The sequence below is a fragment of the Homo sapiens genome, chromosome 3, assembly GCF_000001405.40.
Source record: "Homo sapiens chromosome 3, GRCh38.p14 Primary Assembly".
NCBI lineage: Eukaryota > Metazoa > Chordata > Mammalia > Primates > Hominidae > Homo > Homo sapiens.
The window spans coordinates 159,876,064-159,898,628 of NC_000003.12; the positions used below are offsets into that span (position 1 = coordinate 159,876,064).

General features: G+C 40.9%; 2 protein-coding genes across 36 annotated transcripts in view; both read left to right on the plus strand.

Moving 5' to 3' along the window:
• Window positions 1-21,296, plus strand: part of IQCJ-SCHIP1 (IQCJ-SCHIP1 readthrough) — an 828,041-nt gene extending 806,745 nt beyond the window's left edge. For all 4 annotated transcript variants that reach the window (NM_001197113.2, NM_001414413.1, NM_001197114.2 and 1 more), the window contains 5 exons: window positions 10,144-10,261; window positions 11,645-11,842; window positions 12,757-12,880; window positions 16,034-16,127; window positions 20,660-21,296. In NM_001197113.2, coding sequence (NP_001184042.1) covers window positions 10,144-10,261; window positions 11,645-11,842; window positions 12,757-12,880; window positions 16,034-16,127; window positions 20,660-20,711 — 586 coding nt within the window. In that variant the 3' untranslated portion in view covers window positions 20,712-21,296. The remainder of the gene's footprint in view (window positions 1-10,143; window positions 10,262-11,644; window positions 11,843-12,756; window positions 12,881-16,033; window positions 16,128-20,659) is intronic.
• SCHIP1 (schwannomin interacting protein 1) overlaps window positions 1-21,296 on the plus strand; it is a 624,116-nt gene extending 602,820 nt beyond the window's left edge. For 25 of the 32 annotated variants that reach the window (NM_014575.4, NM_001197107.2, NM_001197108.2 and 22 more), the window contains 5 exons: window positions 10,144-10,261; window positions 11,645-11,842; window positions 12,757-12,880; window positions 16,034-16,127; window positions 20,660-21,296. In NM_014575.4, the coding sequence (NP_055390.1) occupies window positions 10,144-10,261; window positions 11,645-11,842; window positions 12,757-12,880; window positions 16,034-16,127; window positions 20,660-20,711 (586 nt within the window). In that variant the 3' untranslated portion in view covers window positions 20,712-21,296. Of the gene's footprint in view, window positions 1-10,143; window positions 10,262-11,145; window positions 11,405-11,644; window positions 11,843-12,756; window positions 12,881-16,033; window positions 16,132-20,659 lie in introns of all 32 variants that reach the window. The other 7 variants (NM_001394293.1, NM_001414426.1, NM_001394296.1 and 4 more) reach the window with 4 other exon arrangements.
• Window positions 21,297-22,565: the final 1,269 nt, after the last annotated feature.

Below are 22,565 nucleotides of genomic sequence, written 5' to 3' on the forward strand. Positions count from 1 at the left end.
ATATTTATGTATGGCATTAGAAAATCAGTGTCATTGAAAACACTATAAAAAGCTCAGATCCTGCCATATTTGTCCCCCATTCTTCCAGTCTCCCTGCTTCTGTCACCAGAGACAATCACTGTTCCAGGATTTGTATTTGTTCTTCCACCATCGATCATGAGGTGGTGTATCCACATGCTCTGTTAATCACCATGCTTTTTCACTTATCAACATGTTTCGGGTCTGTTCACTAGGCAGGCAGTGTAGCGTGGTGGGTAGGAGCGGGGTATTGGGAACCAGAGGGTCTGGCTTGGAATCTTGACTCTGCCGCTTACTAGCACTTACTAATGGCTTCACTTGTGGCTCAGTTTCCTCATCTGTAAAATAGGGTAATAATTGTGCCTACTTCATGGGGTTACTGTGAGGAAGACCAGCAAAGCACTCAGAAGAGTGCCTGGACGAGAGTCAGTGCTGCATTAGTAGGTGCTGCTACAGTATTTCGTTATCCTTTTTATTTACTCTTAGACACCATTGATTGTAAGACAAATAGTTATTTTATGTACCACTAAAAAAGAAAAACTACTGCCATTTAAACGGTGACACATGCCTTCTTAACACTTAGAGTTTTTATTTTAGTTATTGAAAGAGTAATTTTAGACTTGTTTGGACATACGCTTTTATCATATGTTTCTTGTGCACAAAAAGAGGAAGAAAAGGTGAAACATGTTGGCAAATGTAGTCCTAAACTTTCCAGCTCTCCACTTAACCACTTTACCTGAGAGCTGCCATGTCTCAGCTTTTGGGCCATCGGGAGATGGAGTGCATCACCTTCCAAGCCATCGTCCCCCCATCTGCAAGGTTTGATGCTGGAGCTTTGTTGTTCTTGTCAGAAGGCATGAGTGGACAACCAGTGCCCACCTCCTCCTTGGGGATTATTACCTGGTTTGTGGGCTGATAGAGTTAAGTACTGCAATCATGCCACCACCTACCTGAGGTACAGCAGCTGAGATACATCCCTATTTTAGGCTGGGAGCAGTGGCTCACGCCTGTAATCCCAGCACTTTAGGAGGCCAAGGCAGGTGGATCACCTGAGGTCAGGAGTTCAAGATCAGCACAGCCAACATGATGAAACCCCCATCTCTACTAAAAATACAAAAATTAGCCAGGAGTGGTGGCGGGCGCCTATAATCCCAGCTACTCAGGAGGCTGAGGCAGGAGAATCGCTTTAACCCTGGAGGCAGAGGTTGCAGTGAGCCGAGATCACCCCATTGCACTCCAGCCTGGGTGACAAGAGCGAAACTCTGTTTCAAAGAATAAAAAATAAAGACTGCAAAATGTAAATAACCATGCTTCATAGAATCAATGCAATCTTATTGATCCACTGCATTCTTTTTCACGACTGCGTAGAATTCAAACAGTCACAAACTAAATCATGAAAGCCAGTGTTTTTGAGATGAAGCTTACCATGGAACCAAGCCTAAATGGTGGCCCCAAAATGTTTCTAAACATGAACATAAAAAGTGGTAAAGCAGTGCTTTAATGGTCAAAAGAATAAAAGAATTTGCAATTAAGATTTTCGCCTACTTCAGGAATATGCCTCAGAAACACACACAGGCACTGACTCTCCGCTGTCATGTTTTTTACCCAGTCCGCATGAACATTTTCAAAGGTCTGGAAGGGGAAAAGTATTTCTTCTCTAACCTTCATTGCCTCAACAGCTGAAACTCATCAGCAGGTGGGGTAGATAGGTGTTTAAACTCTGTCTGAGCTGAGCAGAATAAATAGGCAGCCTGGCTTTAAAAATACAAACAGTTAAATTTATATCAATTACGTTAGAGTCTGTAATTTACTGCAGATCCAAGGAGGAGAATGAAATCAAGACTGGATTGAGGAGGGATGTCAACAGTTGAATCAGAGTCCATCCACAGAAATGTTCTCTTATAAGAAAATATGTTTCTTGCTGCCCACGGATCTCCCACCACCTCCAGCACCCTGCCAAAAACAAAAGTCCCTGCATAGACATGGCTGAGTCAGACACACAGCCATCCTCTTCCAGCCATCAAACACTGATCTGCTCACCTTTTCTCCAACACACAAATGCTAATCATCAACTCGGTCATGTTCTTTCCTTTTCTTTTTTAAATTCTTGCCAAGGCCGGGCGCAGTGACTCATGCCTGTAATCCCAGCACTTTGGGAGGCCAAGGCAGGTGGATCACATGAGGTCAGTAGTTCGGGACCAGCCTGGCCAACATGGTGAAACCCTGTCTCTACTAAAAATGCAAAAGATAGCTGGCTGGGTATGGTGGCGGGTGCTTGTAGTCCAAGCTACTCGGGAGGCTGAGGCAGGAGTATCGCTTGAACCCAGGAGGCGGAGGTTGCAGTGAGCCAAGATTGCACCCCTGCACTCCAGCCTGGGCAACAGAGTGAGACTCTGTCTCAAAAAAATAAAAATAGGCCGGGCGCGGTGGCTCACGCCTGTAATCCCAGCACTTTGGGAGGCCGAGGCGGGCGAATCACGAGGTCAGGAGATCGAGACCATCCCGGCTAAAACGGTGAAACCCCGTCTCTACTAAAAATACAAAAAATTAGCCGGGCGTAGTGGCGGGCGCCTGTAGTCCCAGCTACTTGGGAGGCTGAGGCAGGAGAATGGCATGAACCCGGGAGGCGGAGCTTGCAGTGAGCCGAGATCCCGCCACTGCACTCCAGCCTGGGCGACAGAGCGAGACTCCGTCTCAAAAAAAAAATAAAATAAAATAAAAAAATAAAAAAATAAAAAATAAAAAATAAATAAAAATAAATAAATTCCTGCCAAATGCCCATATGTAGCACCTCAGAGGTGCTCAAAAGAGGAAAATCCAAAGCCAACTGAAACTCTTTCACCAAAAAAAAAAAAGATGTATTTCCTGACTTTTTTTCTATGCATATATCTCCATATTTTTGTTTATAAAATTGGAATTATAGCATAGGTACTGTTTTTAGCCTTCTTTCTTTTACTTAACAGTCGGAAACTTTCATCCAATCTAATAATATTGGACTAAGCTTACTCATAAGATTCATCTAATGTAATAATATTGGACTAATCTTATTCATAAGATTAGTATTTCTACTAGCTGCAGAATAGCCCATCATATATTTCACCATAATATACTTTATCAATCTTTTATTATTAGGCATTTAAGTTGTTGCCAGCTTTTTGTTTTGGTTTTGTTTTTGTTTTGCTTTCTTTCTTTTTTTTTTCTTTCTTCTCTTTTTTTCTACCATTAATGAATTTGTTTCCTCCTTTTTAAAGTGCTCTGACATCTCAAGACGGACTTTCCTAAAGTATCAGTGTTGTGATATTGTGTAATTTAACCTCTCTGAGCCGTTTTCTCATATGTGAAACAGGGTTCACAGTGCCTGCTTCATGTGTATCTGAGGGTTAGACATAAAATAGTAAAATGCCTGGCACTTAGTAGATGCTCAAAAACAGTAACTTTTAATTTCAGAATACAGATTACTTGGAAATTACTTGGCCTTATTTAACATGGAAGTAGATAACATTTGCTGCCTACGAGAGATGGCTGTTTTATTCCTCGTATCAGAAGAGGCCTCGTTCTGGTCTTTCATTCATGCTAGAGAACATTTCAGTTGAAAATGCATTTTCCCAACATTAAGATCCTATAATTCCAAATTTAATTACATGAAAGTGGTCATTAGTGAAGGAAATGGACACTGATGTAGAATTAGAACCAACAGCCGTCTGAGGAATGCAAGTATTTATAGCTCTCTGGAGATTCGGGTTAGGATACAGGGGCGATGTTTCTCCAAAGAAAAGCTGGTGAGTGATAGTTTCCCTTTTCTATTAGTTGCCTAAGTCAGTGAGGAGATTCTGTGGCTATGTGGTGCCACAGAATGGCCGGTGTGCTTACCAGCCATCATGTGAACATGTACAGATGGAAGGGTCCAGAACTAGTCTTAGAAGAGCAAGCAGAAAAAAGAAAGTATGCATAAGATTAGGAGGAGAAAACCCAGAGAGGGTCATTCACACTCCAACTACCTTTGGAGCTGCCTTCATCAGCTTCTGCTGAGGAAGCCGAACACCTGAGTCCTGTAAGGTGGGGATCAGGACAGGATATAAAGAGACATAATGTCCTCCCCAGTCCTCTCTTTGGCATATAGTTGGAAACTACCCATAACTTCTCTGGGCACATAACTACTGGAGGGTCAGCTTTTCTATCTCTCTCCTGTATTTATTCCGCCCAACCTCAGTTCACCAAGACCTCCTTCCTTTTGCAGTTTTCTGCTCTTTCACTCTTCTGGTTAACACCTTATTAATGTCCAGGTAGCAAAAGTATTTTCCATATATAAGACAGGGAGATTCTACTAAGTGTTTCTTGAGGTCCCTTCCAATGCTCTGTGTATTCCACATTTCTATTTATACATTGTGACTTAATGATCCAAGCACTTGATATCTGTTAGAAGACCTAGTTTTTATTTGCATCACTTAATGTAGGGGTCGTGAACCATAAAATGCCCTCAGGAGCCAAAAAGAAACATAAGTGAGTGAAGTAGTGCAGATAAAAAGCAATAGAGAATACTGGGGACTGCAGCAAACTAGAAAGTGTGTGCCCTGGCTGACGGGGACAGCAGCTACTCAGCACCAGCCTATTGGTGCCATGAAATTTACAGAACTATTATTGCCTGATCATCAATGAATGAATGAATGAATGAATGTGTGCATGAACATGTAACTCTTTTTTCTCTACCTTATGTAGTTATAAAAATCATTTATAGTCATTGTGTGTGTGTGATGATTTTTGTTGGACCAGCATTATTTGCTAAAATATAGCATTGTATTTTCATAACAAATATTGTGAGGCAGAAACTTTTCCTTTTGTTTCTTTTTTTGTGTTTTTAAGTAGTAATAGGCATTTCTGTAACTCAAGGTAAATATCAAACTGGAACAGTCAGTAGGGAAAAGAAGGGAAAGGAGCAGAGTTTGCCGGATGGGAAAACTATTTTACAATTTACAAGGAGTAGCAGTACTTCATTTTAACCTAACTGAACACATTTTATAGCGACACCATCACACGTGCAGTACATCTAAAGCTTACCCAAACCTCAATTGTTCTCACATTGTTTCTTCATGACAGATTCTCAGAAAAATGAAATGTGTTTTTAGATACTTGAGTAGTTACAATCCATATTTTATGTTTCATCACTTTTGAAATTCTCATGAAACAGAAAAAGATATAGTATAAAAATATAGGCAATTATTCATTATATATAAAATCTTTGAATCATGCATCAAAGATCCTTTAAAATAAATGGAAATAATGTATTTTAATGACCCAGCCACAAACTAGTTGGGGATATTGAGTAATGAATGGCATAGCAGGACCAATGGCTCTCGAGCCACACTGGTTGTAGGCAGATAATGAGCAATGCATGTTCGAAGTCCCTGGCATATGGGACATTCCCTTTCATTCTGTTTCCTAAGGAAAGCCATACAATTGCCTTAAAATTATAAGCAAGTATAGGAGGCATATTTCCTTTAAAATTATATTGCCAGATACAGAAAGGATCTAATAAATTCAAACCTCATGTTAAGTGTAGTATAAGGGAAAGGCCACTGGATTCTAAAATCAGAAGTCCAGCCTGTAGCCTCTTGCTTCGTGACCCTGTACCAGTTACCTATTGCCACAATGATGATGCGTAATTTTTTTAAAAAGCCATCCACGTCAGTAGCATACGATGATGAAGTTTTGCTTCTCCTTAGGATCCTATAGGTCAGCTGGGTGGTTCTGTTCTGAGCTGGGCTTGGACAGGCTTATTCAGTCATCTCCGGTCAGCGAGGTGGCTGGGCTCTCACACGTGTCTAGGGCTTCAGTTGAGACAACTGCCGGTTGAGCTCTGTGCTACGAAGTTACACCGCCAGCAGGCTAGCCTGGACCTGTTCTGAGGGTGGTGGCAGGGCTCCCTGAGGGGGAAACTGGAATACCATCACTTCCTCTGCATTCTACTGGCAAAGACAAGTTCCAAGGCCAGCCCAGGGCTAGGGAAATAGACTCCACTTCTCAATGGGAGAAGCTGCAGGGTCACATTACAGAGGAGATGGGTATAAGGAGAGGAAGAATTGAGATCATTTTTATAAAGAGGTTGTCACAGGTCTGTGGCAAGTCATTTGACTTCTCTGAGTAACTATATCTTGCCTGTAATCCACAGGTGATTATACAGCCCCGGGAGAGAATGTAAGTGAACATACTTTAAAATTCAATGCAACAGTTCAAGTAAAGTGAACCAAAGTGCTGTGGACAGGGGGATAAAAATCTTACCAATGAATCTTGAACATTTATACGTAGATACTAGTGGTCTAAGCAGGTGCTGGGAGATTCCCATTCCTAAAATCAAGTAGAAAAGCAAGTAGAAAATCAAGAAAAAAGCAAGTAGTTCCAGGCTTCAGAGCTGGCCTCAGACCAGCCCAATCCCGGTCACTACAACCCAAAGCCAAGAACAAAGGCCCAATTCATAATGACCACTGCTCCTCTAGAAGTCACCAGCAAACTTTAGGGCCATGACATTGTTTCTCTCAGGGAATAAACTGCTCTTGTCCCTGTATTTTGAAAGAAATGTTACCTTTATATAAAATCATATTACCACTTGGCTGAGTTTTTGAGATATTCTATTCATACTTAAAAACTTTTCGTCTCTGCCATCCTCTCAACTCCTGTGCATATTTTAATAGTATCCCTGGTAACAGTAGTTGGAAGTCAGCACCAGTGTTTTCTAAATAACAGCCTTCCTCACTATAAATGCCAAGCAGACGTGGTTGCTGTGCAGCCTCCCGACCAAGTGCCCTCCTGCTCCTGGCCAGTAGGCACTGTCACACTGAGGCCACTCCTGCTCACACTGAGATGTCCAGAAGACATACTTAGTCTTTATCTCTCCATGTTTCCGGGCATTCTCCGTCAAGGACACTTTCTTTCCAGACCCCTGGTGCTCCCTGCCAGTAGCTCCGGGCAGCAGCGTTGTTTTTAATTGCCTTGTGGTGTGTAAGGGAGAAGAGCTTTCTGGGATAACCAAGACAGACCTTTCAGAAATGAAATCGACAGGCAAGGCTGACTTCCAGCAGCCTTTGTACAGTGCTCTGCTAAATGCCACTTGAAACATCAAGTAACCTTGAATTGGATACCTTGAAATTATATCTCTAATTAACAAGATGAGGATCGTGTTCTGTTTTCACCTCAGACTGTGCTTGAGAGATCTAGGTAAATTAGGCACCCTGCAGCCTGAATTTTGCAAGACTGGTTATGAGGGCAGCCAGATGCACTGCAGTGTGAGGGACAGAGGCCCGGGGAACTGTGGTTTTCAGATGTGAGCCTCAAGAACAGCCATGTCTCCCAGGGTGGGCAGGGTCCTGGAACAGGGGTTATCTGTTCTTCCACCCTGGGCACAGAGGCCTTCAGCAGCACCAGGTGGCCCCACTCATCCATTCAGGCTGCTTGGGAGCTGTGGTTGAGTTTCACCGAGAGCTGACTTCATCTTAAAACCCGCTTAAAGGCTAAAAGCAAACAAATCCTTCTTGAAACCTGAGCTCGTTTTAAGATGTCTTTACTAAAATCCCCTCTGAACCATTAGCTGTTATGTCATATAATTTCCTTTTCCTGAGAGTAACATTCTTGGTGATTACCACTATAAGGAATTATGTCTCACCCTATAAGAAGCTCTCTTCAGTTTCCTATGGGGATAATGTGGTACTAAGGCGATTTTCTGAATTTCTACCTGCGGCGTTTTTTGATTTTACGCAGACTACTAAATCTCCCCCAACTTTTTTTTTTCTTTCCTTTCCTGAGTTAGACTATATGGGATGTTTAAGTCTGGGTTAATCCTTCAAAAAGAAGTCAGCGTGGCCGCAGAACAACAGAATTTATGATCAGACTTTCTTCTGAGTGAAAATACATATATCTGGACATTGTAAACTTTATTTTGCTTTGTGTTTTGTATTGCGGGTTATTTTACATTTTTATAATCTGTGTATCCAGTAGCCAGACCCTTCTTCTCAAGACTTTATTCAATAAATAGAAAATGCTACATAATCCTAGATTCAAATTAGGGTTTGTCTTTAAAATGTGTCTGTTTTTAATTTGCTAACAGCTTTTTTCCCACCATCTTCCAATCCATAGAACTTGAGTATTATTATTAAAAGGGGGTTGATTTTATTTTTTTAGACCGACAGACATTAAAATTTCTAAACCTGCATGGAATCAAAGGGTAACCTGAACATATTAGATTTCTCCAGGAAAAAAATATATATGTGTGTCTGTGTCTGTGTGTGTGTGTGTGTGTGTGTGTGTGTGTGTGTGTGTGTTTATGTATGTATGTATATCCAATGGATAAAAGTAAAAAGGTGGCAAATCCCAGCTCAGTAGAAGAACAAACTGCCTAATAGACCATGTGTTGTCTCAGAGAGTTGATTCTACATCAGGGATTATTGTGACAGGACAAGCAGTATTAGAGTAAGTGACTTTAGAGAGTCATTTCACCTCTAAAATTCTGTTCCTTTTGTTTAGACTTTCAGTAAATAGAGAATGGAGAGCAACTCACATGTACAGGTCACTTGCCCTGCACTAAGCTCTGAATGAACTATTTTAATCCTTCCTGCATAACACTGGGTTTGCTACTATTCAACCCATTTTATCGATGAGGAAAACTGAGGGTCATAGAGCTTTTGTAATGTGCCTGGAGAAAGAAGTAAGGATTCAGAACCTAAGTTCAGCTCACTCCAAGCATCTTCAGATGATCAGAGTGGGGTGTGTTGCTTTCTAACCCCTAGTTCTGGGCCTGGCTCCCCCTTGCCTGTGCCATGAGGGTAGGGAGCAAATAGAGCTGGGCAGATTGAGGGAATGGCTGCATTTTCTTACAGGGGTTGTAAGCTGGGATTTTCAGTAATTACAGAATTTAACAATAGGTGGCAGTGCATACCCATAACAATTATGGTTCCCGTGTTAAATCAGATTTTCTTTTTCTGGGTTCTGTGTTGTTTTCAATAAAAGAATCACTTTAAATGAGTGATCTGATCAATTTCTACAAAGCATTCCTACCATTGGAATTGAAAAGTCAAATCTCAGGTAAGTTGTTCTTGGCATTTCTTCCTATGGCAGTAATAATGCCAGAGAAATTCAGCATCCTCTGCCCTAAACCTGGCTTAGGTCAGCTTCCTTGGGATCTTTTCTTGCGTAGGAACCTCCTTTTGCCTTTTCTTTCCCTAAGCTTACACAGAGACTGGGGCTACTAGAGATGCTAGGAAAACTACTTCTTTAAAAATGCTTTATCACCAAACAGTATTGAAATGTGTTCAACTTCAAAAGAAGGTTAGAACAAAAAGTTGGCTGTGCAGCCTGGCCTGCGAGTGGCAGCTACACGGCCAGGTTACCCTTTGTGACTGTGCTTCCAAAAACATCAGCCCTGGAGCTTCAGGATTCACCACACATATAATGGCTTCCCAAAGGTCTCTGTCCCTGAGGTTCTGTGTGCAGGAGGTGGTCTGCAGAACCTTGCTGTGTTCTAAGGCTGCACCTTACTGCCTGGGTTTGGGGCTTCCTTACATTTTTTTAAGTGTGAACCTGTGGTGTTTTCCTTCCTTAATGATATAAATGAGCTCCCTTGGTTGGCTTTTGGCAACTGCCTTAAAGATTTCCTTCAGATGACCCTATTCTGTCTATTTGGGAGAAAAGGAGTCTTTCTTCAGAGAGCTGTGGCCTTGGGATGCTGGCTCCAGTGAGAGAGTCTTTGATTGTCCCCCTGGGACGGGTTCTCTAGATGACACCACGCAGCCTTATTTGCCCGAGGACCCCATTCATCTTGATTGACAGGACTGTAAACTCAAAGACTCAACACATTTTTATTGTGCACCAACTATCTGTTTGGTATTGTGCTGGGTGCTCTAACATGGGGCCTTAAATTATTTTTCACTTACCATGAAACTGGCGAGGAAAAAACTCACAGAACATTGGAAAATCCTCTACTAAGAGTTATTTATATGTGGAGAGTAATATTGGTTGCTCATTTCTCCATGTGAAGAACACATAAGACTACTTTCTGTTAGCAAAATCAGACAGTTCTATTGGCTGAAGCCAAATAACAAACAGCTAAGTAGAACTAGTGTCCTGTTTGTTTCTGCCCAGACTGCAGAGTGGGATGAACTTGCAGATATGCTTTGTCAACGACAGTGGCAGTGATAAGGACAGTGATGCTGATGACAGTAAGACTGAAACCAGCTTGGACACCCCCTTGTCTCCCATGGTGAGTCCAAACAGCACCAGCTGAAGCTCGGTGTTGTGATTTCCGGGCCATTTAGCTTCTTTTCTGTTGTAAGGTGAATCAGGAACAAACATTTCAGAGATTAAAGAAGAAAAGTTTCTTGGAATTGCATGCTCCTAAAATTTGACAATGATTAAAAAGTCAAAGTTGTAATAAAATAGAGATATATAAGCTTTCTTAAAGTTAATAACTATTTTCATATTAAACCATTAGAGAAATCACCAGCCTGGGCAACATGGCAAAACCCTGTCTCTATAAAAAAATACAAACATTAGCTGATCATGGTGCCTATAGTCCCAGCTACTCAGGAGGCTGAGGCGGGAGGATCAGCTGAGCCCAGGAGTTCAAGGCTGCAGTGAGCTATGATGACACCTCTGCACTCCAGCCGGGGCAACATAGTGAGACCCTGTCTCTAACGAGAGAGAGTGTATTAGTTCATTTTCATGTTGCCGATAAAGACATATCCAAGACTGGGCAATTTACAAAAGAAAGAGGTTTAATGGACTTACAGTTCCACATGGCTAATGAGGCCTTGCAATCATGGCGGAAGGCAAGGAGGAGCAAGTCACGTCTTACATTTTTAAAACCATCATATCTGGTGAGACTCATTCACTATCACAAGAACAGTACAGGAAAGACCCACCCCCATAATTCAATTACCTCCCACTGGGTTCCTGCCACGACACATGGGAATTGTGGGAGTTACAATTCAGGATGAGATTTGGGTGGGTACACAGCCAAACCATATCAGAGAGAGAGAGAGAAATTAGATATGCTCTAAAAATTATAAAGAGAAAATAAGCTAAATCCAGTTCTTCCCTATTGGGCTTAGAAATATTAGCTCATGTCTTTCCTTCCCATTACAGAAGTTGGCTGAATAATCATGGGTGCCTGTTGCTGGAATTCTTTCCTCTCTGTGAGGTCTGTCTATAGCCTTTTTTACCAAAGACCAACAAAGAGGAAACTGTTGTCGTTGAGTGCAGTGCGACATCAGAACATCACTGGATACATGAGATCCTGTCCACGCAAAGAACCTACGTAGGGCCTTGGCTTCGAGTCAATATTTTGTTATGTCTGTTCACTTCAGGAAAGTTTTGAGGCCAAGAATCAAAGACATATTTCAAGGTTGTTGTAAATATATTTCCCATTATTAACTATACTGCTCTCTCTGTTTATGCTAAAATCTATTTTAAACTAGACCCTTTTTCTGTTACTTGAGATTTATCAACTCAAGTAGCAAGTCACATTGAGGGAGGGAACTCTGAGCTGCTCTGAGAGAAGGCTCAGAGGATGTTGTAGCCCATCTCTAAGTGGATGCTAGCTGGCATGCATGGAAGGCTCAGGCTGCTCTTTTTCCCTTTGCAGAGCAAACAGAGTTCTTCCTATTCTGATAGAGACACTACTGAAGAGGAGTCTGAATCCTTGGATGACATGGACTTCCTTACAAGGCAAAAGAAATTGCAAGCTGAAGCCAAAATGGCCCTTGCCATGGCCAAACCAATGGCCAAAATGCAAGTAGAAGTGGAGAAACAGAACAGGAAAAAGTCTCCCGTCGCTGATCTTGTAAGCAGCAAAGGCTGAAATGCAAGGAAGTGTTTGGGAGCCAGAAATGGTTGACACTGTCCCAGTCCTTTCCCAGAATTATGCAAACTTGTGTTTCTCTAAGGCGGTTTGTAAAAAGTCCTGTCATTGAGAAATGATTAAGTTTGTTTCTTTTTCCTTCCTACTGTAGGACTGAAAAATACAGAAGCAATAGATTTCACAAAAGTAAAGTTTGCTGTTGATTGATGTCTACTGTTTCTTAGCAACAATATTAGCTGCCACGGGAATATTTAAATTCCTTTGAAGCGATCTCAATCTAAGAACCTATTGGTCTTGGCAAACTTACTATTGCTATAATTGTCATTCTCATATTTCAATAAAGACAATATCACATAGTGAATAGGAGTCCTGGACTTTGGAGTTTAAGTCTAGCTCTGCCATTGACCTGCTATGAAGTTCTAAGCAAGTTACTTAAGTCTCAGTTTTCTCATCTATAAAATGGGGATGATAATGCCTGTGTCAGAGTATGATTGTGAGGATTCAGTGAGATAAAGTATTCAAAGCACATAGCACAGTGCTTGTAGCATGGTATAAATTATTAAATAGTAGCTGATACTAATTTTTTCCATGTCATTGATATTATTGATGTTCCTTGATAATTCATTTGTGGCTATAACATTGACTCACAACCCATATTAAAGACGAGTCAAAAAGCTTTTGATGCTGGTAGTGTTGTGTTTTGATGCCAGTTGCATATTAGGTAATGTAGTGTGGATGTAGGGCCCCACATTGGGAAAGACACAGACTGGGAAAGCTTTTAATCACTGAATTGCAGTGGGTGGGTGAGTGGGTCTTTTAAGAGAAAACTGGGTCTTAACGTTCAGTGTGTTTGTGGCTCTGTTCACTCCTCCATTTCTTCTCCTTTGTATCTTCAGCTGCCACACATGCCTCATATAAGTGAATGCTTGATGAAAAGAAGTTTAAAACCCACCGACCTGAGAGACATGACTATTGGGCAGCTACAAGTGATAGTCAATGATCTCCATTCCCAGATAGAAAGTAAGTGTAAGATATGCTTGAAAATAGGATATTCAATGTAAAACATTATGGGATAATGCTGCTTCCTTGGTCCAACTTTTTCATACAACATTTCATTGGGTTCCTGTGTGATTGCAAGGAAAATAAGAGAATCACAAGGCTCTTTTTTGTTGCTGTTGTTTTAGCTGTAAAATGTTCAGAAGCTTTAAGAATTTTTCAAGATTCACAATAGTTATAGGTCCCTTCTATTTATTTTAAATCCCCAGCTCCTAGCACAGTGCATGTACCTGACTTACAACACCTGTTTCTGGAACACAGTTCAGTAGTTACAAGTCATTTGCTATACAAGTATACTTTCTACTTTAGTTGTATACACATTCATCGTAGGTATCATCATCATCAATAAAATCAAATTAGACACATTTCCTAGGACTCCAGGTGGTGGAGTATGTGGAACCAATATGTGAAAATTACAGGGTGACAAAATACAGACTTTTCTTCCCAGAATAAAGAAAGACCTCTAACAGAAGTGGCCACAGGGAGTGGTGAGTGGTGCTCACTCAAGGTGATTGGTCATGCAGAGAATAGGCAGTTAGTTGCTTGTCCTGATGAAAGAGAGAACATTCTCACTTAGGCAGTGTGGTTAAGCCGATAAATTCACAATCTCTTCAGCTCCTGGGAGGAATGAGTCTGTATAATTATACGGTATTACAGATTAAAAGAAATTCAAGAGATATGCCAAACAAATGCATTCAAACCAACTATAAAAAGAAAAGAGCATTTATGAGCCAAACAGGGAAATGTGAATACTAACTGAATGTTTTAGTAAGGATTGATTTATTTTAGGTGTGATAAAGGTGTTGCAGTTATGTGAATTTAAAAAAGAAAAGCTGGCCGGGCGCGGTGGCTCATGCCTGTGATCCCAGCACTTTGGGAGGCCGAGGTGGGCAGATCACGAGGTCAGGAGATCGAGACCATCCTGGCTAACATGGTGAAACCCCATCTCTATTAAAAATACAAAAAATTAGCTGGGCATGGTGGTGGGCACCTGTAGTCCAGCTACTCGGGAGGCTGAGGCAGGAGAATGGCGTGAACCCGGGAGGCGGAGCTTGCAGTGAGCCGAGATCTCGCCACTGCACTCCAGCCTGGGTGACAGAGCGAGACACCATCTCAAAAAAAAAAAAAGAAAGAAAGAAAAGAAAAGCCTCTGTCTTTTAGAGATACCTACTGAAGCATTTACAGATAAAATAATGTGATAGCTGGAATTTGCTTTAAAATAATCCAGTAGAAGTCGGAGAGAGAAATGATTCAAGCTTGGCCATGAGTTGATAATTGTTGAAGCTAGTTGGATACATGGAAATTCATTAAACTGTTTTCTCTGCTTTTGTAGCAGTTTGAAAATTTTCCATAATAAAAAGCTTAAAACTTCATATTGGAAAAACAATTCTATGCATTAAGGGTTCAGATATGTAGACACTCTACTAAGTGACAGTATAAAAGGCTACACAAGAGCACACTGGAAAAAATGAAATTTTTCCACAAGATCCAAATAAAAAAAATTGGACATATTCAGTGCCAAGTTAACACATTGAATATTGTTTTAAAATTAAGAGAAAGGGTCAAACATTTTGATTAAGAAACCATAGATTCACAGGATTTTTTAAAAAAATTCTACAACTGCATTTTAATTTTAGTTGAAAATTAATTACTAGAGTTGCTATTCTTTCAAGGACTAAAAGCACTTTCTGATATTTTACCACTAAAACATCTTCCTTAGACTTTTAAACACTGAAATTGCCATCTAGTCCTTTTCAGGAATAGATGAAATTTTAGACCTCTTTGTGTGATTTTTTTTTTTGGGGGGCTCTCTTTTTAAAAATGGAAACTAGTTTGACCTAAAGGCAGATAAATGCATCATTTGAAGTCAGGATATCTAAAAGCATTTCCAAGGGGGACCTGTCTGATCACCCCCATTCTATCTTTTGTTTCCCTGCCCAGAGCTCTTGCTAAATGGGTACTCTCTTCCATGTGTCTGGGCCTAGCAGCTGTAATGCTTAGCTTCTCTGAGGGAAAAAGCAAGAGAGAGCCTTTGCTTGTTCATGTTTTTCAGTGGCAGGAGCCCAATTAACCCAGTGCACTGATTTCAGGAAGATTAGATATATTTCGGGCCCAGGTGCAGTGGCTCACACCTGTAATCCCAGCACTTTGGGAGGCCGAGGCGGGCAGATCACGAGGTCAGGAGATCAAGACCATCCTGGCTAACAAGGCAAAACCCTGTCTCTACTAAAAATACAAAAAATTAGCCAGGCTTGGTGGCACATGCCCGTAGTTCCAGCTACTCGGAAGGCTGAGGCAGTAGAATCACTCGAACCCGGGAGGTGGAGGTTGCAATGAGCCGAGATCGTGCCACTGCACTCCAGCCTGGGCGGCAGAGTGAGATTCCGTTTCAAAAAAAGAAAAAGGAAGGAAGGAAGGGAGGGAGGGAGGAAGGGAGCGAGGGAGGGAGGGAAGAAAGATTTCTGTCTCTATAGATTTCATTCCTGGTATAAGTCTTAAGTAATATTTTCCTTGGCACCCTGTTGTTTAGAAATTTCAGGGGTTATTTCTTCAGGTCTTGCACATCTAACTATATTACAAATCTGACTTTCCAATATCTTCAGATAATACTTTCTCCTAAAACAATCTGCACATAGGGCTTCTCCTTTCCTAGGGCCATGTGAAGGCATTGAGCATCCCTGACATACCTTCCTTTTCAGCTGGGCATCTAATGTAGTAGTCAGGCTCCGAGGGGCCCCTCCTGACTGTCAGCGTGGCAGGAGCACCCTGAAGCTGAAGGGTGGAAAACTTAATGTGCTCCAGGCTTTGCTGTTCACATTTTTTCTTCAAAACAAAACCTGCTTTTTCTAACAAGCTGTTCTCCTAACAGCTAACAATTTCTTTTCCCACCTTAATATGAAGGTAATTGGAAATAGTTCGTACTTTACTCCTTTTCTTCCCACACCTCTATAATTATGCAAACTAGACACGTTTCTGCAACATACGATGTCTAACCTTTTACAAAAATATCTTTCCTATTATGGGTAGCTGTTTGTGTGTATACTGGTTGGTAACTAGTTTACATTCTGACTTGGAGGCAGTTTTATCTGTTTTTAAATGTTCTGTTATTTGCCACAGGCTTGAATGAAGAGTTGGTCCAGCTGCTTCTCATCCGAGATGAGCTGCACACAGAGCAGGATGCCATGCTGGTGGACATTGAAGACTTGACCAGGTCAGTGTGGCTTCACTCTTGCCAAAGAAGAAAAGCCCAGGGTGGTCTGAAATCTAAGAATTAGGCAAAAACTAGCTCAAGAGAACTTCTTCCTCTACTTCCATAAATAACTCACCTAGCCTTTTCTGGTGCCAGCTGTTCAGATGGAGGGGAAGCAGAATTCCATTGTCCTTACCAAATGCATGCTTTTTAGCAACCATCCCCCCCTTGTGATGAATTGTCAGTGCATTACTTCTCACATCTCCGCCTAAATCAGGTCTAGTTCTGGTTTTGGAGGACTTTACCTTGAAGGACTGTCCCCTGGGAAGCTGGGCATAAGCCATGTCATGCTGGCATGTTTCCAGCACAAGCAGCCATGTGATGAGTTCTCCAAAGCACAAGCTCTTGTATGATCCAGTTCTTGATCGCCTCTGCCATGCCCAGAAGGCAGGGACACTGGCATCTCTCTACAGCCACAGTGCCACCAGATTGTTCTCACCATGGGGAAACTCCAGGACTTGAGTTTTTAGCTGGGCTTTGCTCCAACTGCCTCTTTGTAAAGAGGTAAAAAGAATGCTTCCCTCCCTAGGGGACAAGGAAACTAGGCTAATGCTGGTCAAAATTTTGCACTTCTTTGTAGATTTCCTTGCAGGAAAGCATGTCACTGTAAGTATATAAAGTACCTGGAATACTGTAAACATTCCTATGAGCACATATTTACTATGGCATCTTTTCTGAGACAGTCCATATGGAATCTTTAAACCAACAGACAGTAATTGCTATTAATCCCAGAAACAGTATTTAGAGAGTAGAAGGCTCTCCAAAGAAGGAACACCTCTTGGCACAATGATGTAAGGAGTTAACCACATGGTCTACAACAATCCCAGAGAAGCTCGAAAACATATGTAGTGATAATAATGCTCCCAGCACCTACCATAGACCTCATCTCAATGTGTAATGCTGGGTAAAATAATTGTCTAATGCTGCAATGATATAAAAAATAGTTTTGGTAGCAAAATAAATGCTGGAAAAATATGTTTAAGCTTTCTTTTTTAAGACTTACGGGCAGCACTGTTTTGTATGTTTTACATATTATATTGCCTTATCCCTAGCCAAAAACAAAACAAAACAGTAAGCCTTCTCATACTCTTTGAACATATTTGCCTGCATCTGAAATATCACAATAACACTCAAATAATATTATTGCCATCTAAAGATGTATTCAGGCACTACACCACCAGCAATTATAAAACATCCCTTTTTTGTTAGTTTAAGAAGTTTGCATGCAGGTGTTAAGATTATGGGAAATCGGTGGTGAAATATACAATCAGGGCCTACATTTTTTTAAAAAAATATATAAATTCTTGTAAACTATGATTTACCTGTGACAGCAGAGATCTTTTCTCTGTCTCTCAGAATAGTATTGTCATTTCTTTTTTGGCAAGAAGAAGAGGCCCCTCCTCTTCTCTCTAAGTGTTAGGCTAATACTTAGGTTTGCAGTGTATGTTTTTATAACTTTCAGATGGTGTGACCATCGGAAACAGGGCAGGCAAAACCATGGAGTTAAAAGGAGAGGAGTCACTAATTTAAAGGTGTTGGAGGCATTCTTTGAATTGGAGCAGTCCTACCATGGGCCCCAGGGGCATGATGTCCTTGCCTAGCCTGCCTCTTGGTGGGAAGAAGCTTCTACATCTGCTCTTGGCTGCAGAAAAGTAACTTTCCTCATTGGAGGGACCTGAGGATACTTAAACATCCCTAAAGGCAGCAGCCCCAGAGTCCTGCAGCCAGATCTCAGAAGGCGGAGGGGGTGGCTGTGGGGACTGCTGGGACATGTGGTCCACCTCTTCCCTTTACCTGTACAACTCCTACTATTCCAGATGTCCATTCAAATCAGTAGTTCTCAATTTGGGTTGCACAACAGAACCATGTGGGGAGGCTTATAAAATAGTGATGCCTGGATCCTACCCCAGATATTCTTATTTAATTATCCTTGTGGGCTAGCGTGGGCATGAGAATTTTTTTAAAGCTCTGAGATAATTCTCACGCACAGCCAAATTTGAGAACCACAGGTTTGGATGATGCTTCTTTGGAGAAGCCCTCCCTGACCTCCAAACACTTGGCTCTTTAGCATTCATTCTCCCCTTATATGGACTGTCAGTGCATTAAACTTATTACACCTCCATGTAAATCAGGACTGTTCCCAAGGGAGTTGACCCTGGTGTGTCAGGGTCATTCCATGCTGGCATGTTTCCAGAACATGAACAGCCATGTCGTGGGTCTACAAAACAGCACCAGCAATTATGTGACCTGCTTTCGATCATAAGACTGTGTTAAGACCTTCTCCTCAGTGTTCCTAACAACATCGCATCTCTGTCATGTGGAGCCTAGTGGCACTGTGTTTTATTTGTCTGCTGTCTCTCCCAACGTGACTATGAATTCCCTGAAAACAGAGGTGATGTCATTTTCATTCTTTACTGTGTCCCCAGAGCCTAGCACAGGGCCTGCCAGGCACATTGTAAGCCCTCAATAGCAATTGTTGTTTTAAAAAAAAAAAAAAAAGAGTTTTGGTGGGGCTTCAGTGAAACAAATCCTAATAGGGACTCTTATATAACTTGCTGATAAGAACCTTTTAGTTTTATGGACTGAAACCCTTTCCCTCCTTTGTTTAAAATTTTAATGAAATTCACTATTTTATTTATGTCTCAAAAAATTACCCAGCTTTCAATATTTTCTGAAGTTGTGTGCCATCTGCTCTTCTTTCCTTCTCAGAAAACCTTTTGATGTATGTGCGTGCATGTGCATAGGAGTGTGTGTGCATGAGCATGTACATAGTAGTATATTTTAAAAATTACTGTGAGAACTGTAATTAGCTACAGTGGAATCAAGTTCACTGGGCATCAAAATATCTTGATCTGGATTTGCTTAAGTGAGGCATATGAGTTAGTCACGAAAATGTTTGATTCTTGTTACACATCAACAGGGCTATAAGATGGTCTGCTAAAGGGGACAGATTTTTTAAGGAATGGAGAGCTATCGATAAGGTACTTTTTCCTGAGTACCTTTATTGTTAGTTGAATAGTTCCATTTATTTATGGGCTGCTGAGTGTAGCAAGGACACTGTTGTCACTCCCCTGTTTCTGAAAGTATTTGTAGTTTGTCTTCCCTGATATGACACATTCTGCATAAAACCAGTGAGTTCAACTTGACATCACTGACTACCCAAGTCCAGGCAGCACACACAAACTATTCCTAAACGTTTGATTATAGCTGGAAACCACAGCCCTAGATGTTTTTATCTTGCCAAATTTATCATTTCCTAAAATCGTCCTTTAAAACCATTGTCTTTTGCAGCCTTCAAACCCCATCATTCTCTGAGAAGTGACCATTCAAGTGATGTCAACAGCTTGGCCACACTCCTCCCCCTCTGCCCCACTGTCTACCTCTGCCCCACTGTCTAGCTGCTTCACTGGCCTATTTTTGGGTTCACAGGTCATAATAGAGCTTGTTTTTGGTTTTGGTTGTTTGTTTGTTTGTTTGTTCTTTGAGACAGAGTTTCACTCTTGTCACCCAGGCTGGAGTGCAATGGCATGATCTTGGCTCACTGGAACCTCCACCTCCCGGGTTCAAGCAATTTTCCTGCCTCAGCCTCCTGAATAGCTGGGATTACAGGCGCACACCACCATGCCCAGCTAATTTTTGTATTTTTAGTAAAGGCAGGGTTTTGCCATGTTGGCCAGGCTGGTCTCAAACTCCTGACCTCAGGTGATCCACCAGCCTCAGCCTCCCAGAGTGCTGGAATTACAGGCGTGAGCCACTGGACCTGGCCCATAATAGAGCTTTATAAATAAGAAGACTCACCCTATCCTCACTGCCAAGACCATGCCCTTAGGATTAATTGGGGGGAAAAACATGCAAACGTGGAATATCTTTACATCCACAAAGACCTGCCATTTGTTAGACATTGGCTTTTGCAGGAGTGAATTAGATTTTTGGCTCCAGGTTTCTGTCAGGAGTCTTAGTTAATATCTAGGTCTGTGTCTGCATGGGTCTTTAGATAAAGTAGTCACTCAGTTACTCTTATCATAATACCATGTTTCGACTTTTGGCTTCGTGCTTATTTCCATCTGTTATTTCCTTATTTGCTATTTATTCCTTTCTTGTCTCATATTCCCCATGAGAACAGAGACCTCACTGTCTTGCTCACCATCAAATACCCATGGAAGACACATATTTAATATTTGTTGATAAAAGTATCCCAGATGTTTATTTATTTTCATTTTCAAACAGAACTTTTCTTCTTAAAAGTAGTAATGTCTAAAAGTCTCAGATTCATCCAGTGGCTTACTAAATAAAAGGAATCATACACAATATGTAAAAATTAAAGAGTTCAAATCAGAGTTCAAAGAGTTTGAATAAGGTACTTTTTCTTGATTCTAATCTATTTCACTGTCAGTAACTCTGAACTTCAGTTTGCAGGATGCTGTAGCTATTGATTGAAAAGCAGTTTGGATCTCTCTACATGATGCTAAATAATTGTATTAATTGTTTTACAGACATGCTGAAAGTCAGCAGAAGCACATGGCAGAGAAAATGCCTGCAAAGTGAAAAGAAGCCATTCAACCAGAGAACAAGCTAGAATTTATTTTGCTTCTGTGGTTGTAAAAATGCTGTTGCTAAAGGTGGCGCAGAAACAAATATCAGTGTTAGTCATTGATAATGTCTGAAGCTTAATGTCCAGTGATTGGCCTTTGCTTCTTAATTTATTTTAATTTTTTACTTGTGCCACTTAATATCAGGCATTTTAATAAAATATTGTTACAAAAAATGTACAGTACTGACACCACCACAAATCATGGTTAATAAAAGAGAGTAGTTTTAACTTTATTTTTATTTGTTTAGAGATTTTAAGTTGGAACAGTATTTTCCCATTGACTACTTTTCATTCTTCACTGTAGTTTTAAAGAAGAACTGTAAATGACGGTGCTATACAAGTCAAAAAATACATGCCTGCCTCGTAGTGAAGTTGTAGCTCTCCGTAATATGTATATTTTACTCAGTTTTCAACATTTTGTGAATGTTGACTACCTGAAGTTCCTTTTTAGATGTGCTATTAACATTCTGTTGGATTCAGAGGGTTCCTTGAAAGTTTTATGTATAAATATGTAAAATAAAAATTAAAACTTTGTTTCATATCATATGTCTTTTTGCTCACTAACAAGGCTTATACTGGCTTAACCCTTCTGCAACTAAATTCCCCACCAGGAAACTTTTATCAGTGAAAAAACAAATTGCTCCAGAGGACACACAAGTGGCAAATTGCCCAGAAAATTATGAGCGTGAGTGCGTGTCTGTGAGTATGTGTGTGTGAGAGAGTGATCCGAAGAACACCAAAGGTCAGTAGCATCAGAGCCTGCACTTCTATTATTGCTTAAAGAGATTCATCTGGAATTTTAGCACTTTAGTATTTAATAGCTGCTGGTCTTGTTAGGGCACTATGATTGTATCAAACTCCATTTAGTAAATTCACCACGTGAACAAATGATGTTTACACTTACTCTTTCTCCAAGGCCAATTGTTGCTATTTTCAAATTTTTAGCCATTCTGTTGGTCTCATGAAAGAAGATTCCAAGTCTAAAGCAGATTACAGACTGTTTCTTAATAAGTGGAGAGTTTCAGAAAATAGATTTAATTAGCTAATGTTCATGTAGTGATTAGGGAACCATAAACTAAAGCAAAGATGAACAATTCAACATTCCAGAGCCACCCACAAACCACCTGGTTTCACTCCAAGGTCCATGATGTAATCTGAAGATAGAGAACTGTCTCCATTTTCCTTTCTCAAAAATACTCAGATAAGTATTCTAAAGTATTAAAAAGATTTGCTAGTGTTCCTAGACGGCCTTCTGTTTAGCAAAATAGGTAATCTTAAATTGTAACACTAGTTATTTTTTATGGGCCTCAAACAAGTTATTTCCATTCAGAATAGAAAAAGAACACAGATCGTAAATATATTTTGGTTTTTGTGAGTTGGCTGTTGAGGACAGCTTGCTGCTCACTACTGAGCTAAAGAGTGGGGCCCTAAATCCTCTCTGCCCAAAGGTCTCTAACTGAGCCCTGAATTCCCACACCAGCTGTCAGGGATCTCCTGGGGTGATCCCAGCCCTGTGAATCCAAGCACAGCTGCTGGACCATCGTCACTGCTTCTACTGGGTGAGAATGTTGGTCAGTGAGCCAGTGGCTCTTGTCTCTAGCTGCACAGTGGAACCACCTGGAGAGCTTCAGAAGCCACTGGTGCCTGGGTTCCACCCCCATGGACTGACTTAAATGGTCTGGGGTGTAGCCTGGGCATTGAGACATTTAAAGGTCTCCAGGAGATTTTAATGTTGAGAACCATTGCCTTCCACTTTCTTCTTTTCTTTAGCTTTATTAAACCATGTTTCTAAGTATCTAATTTTATTC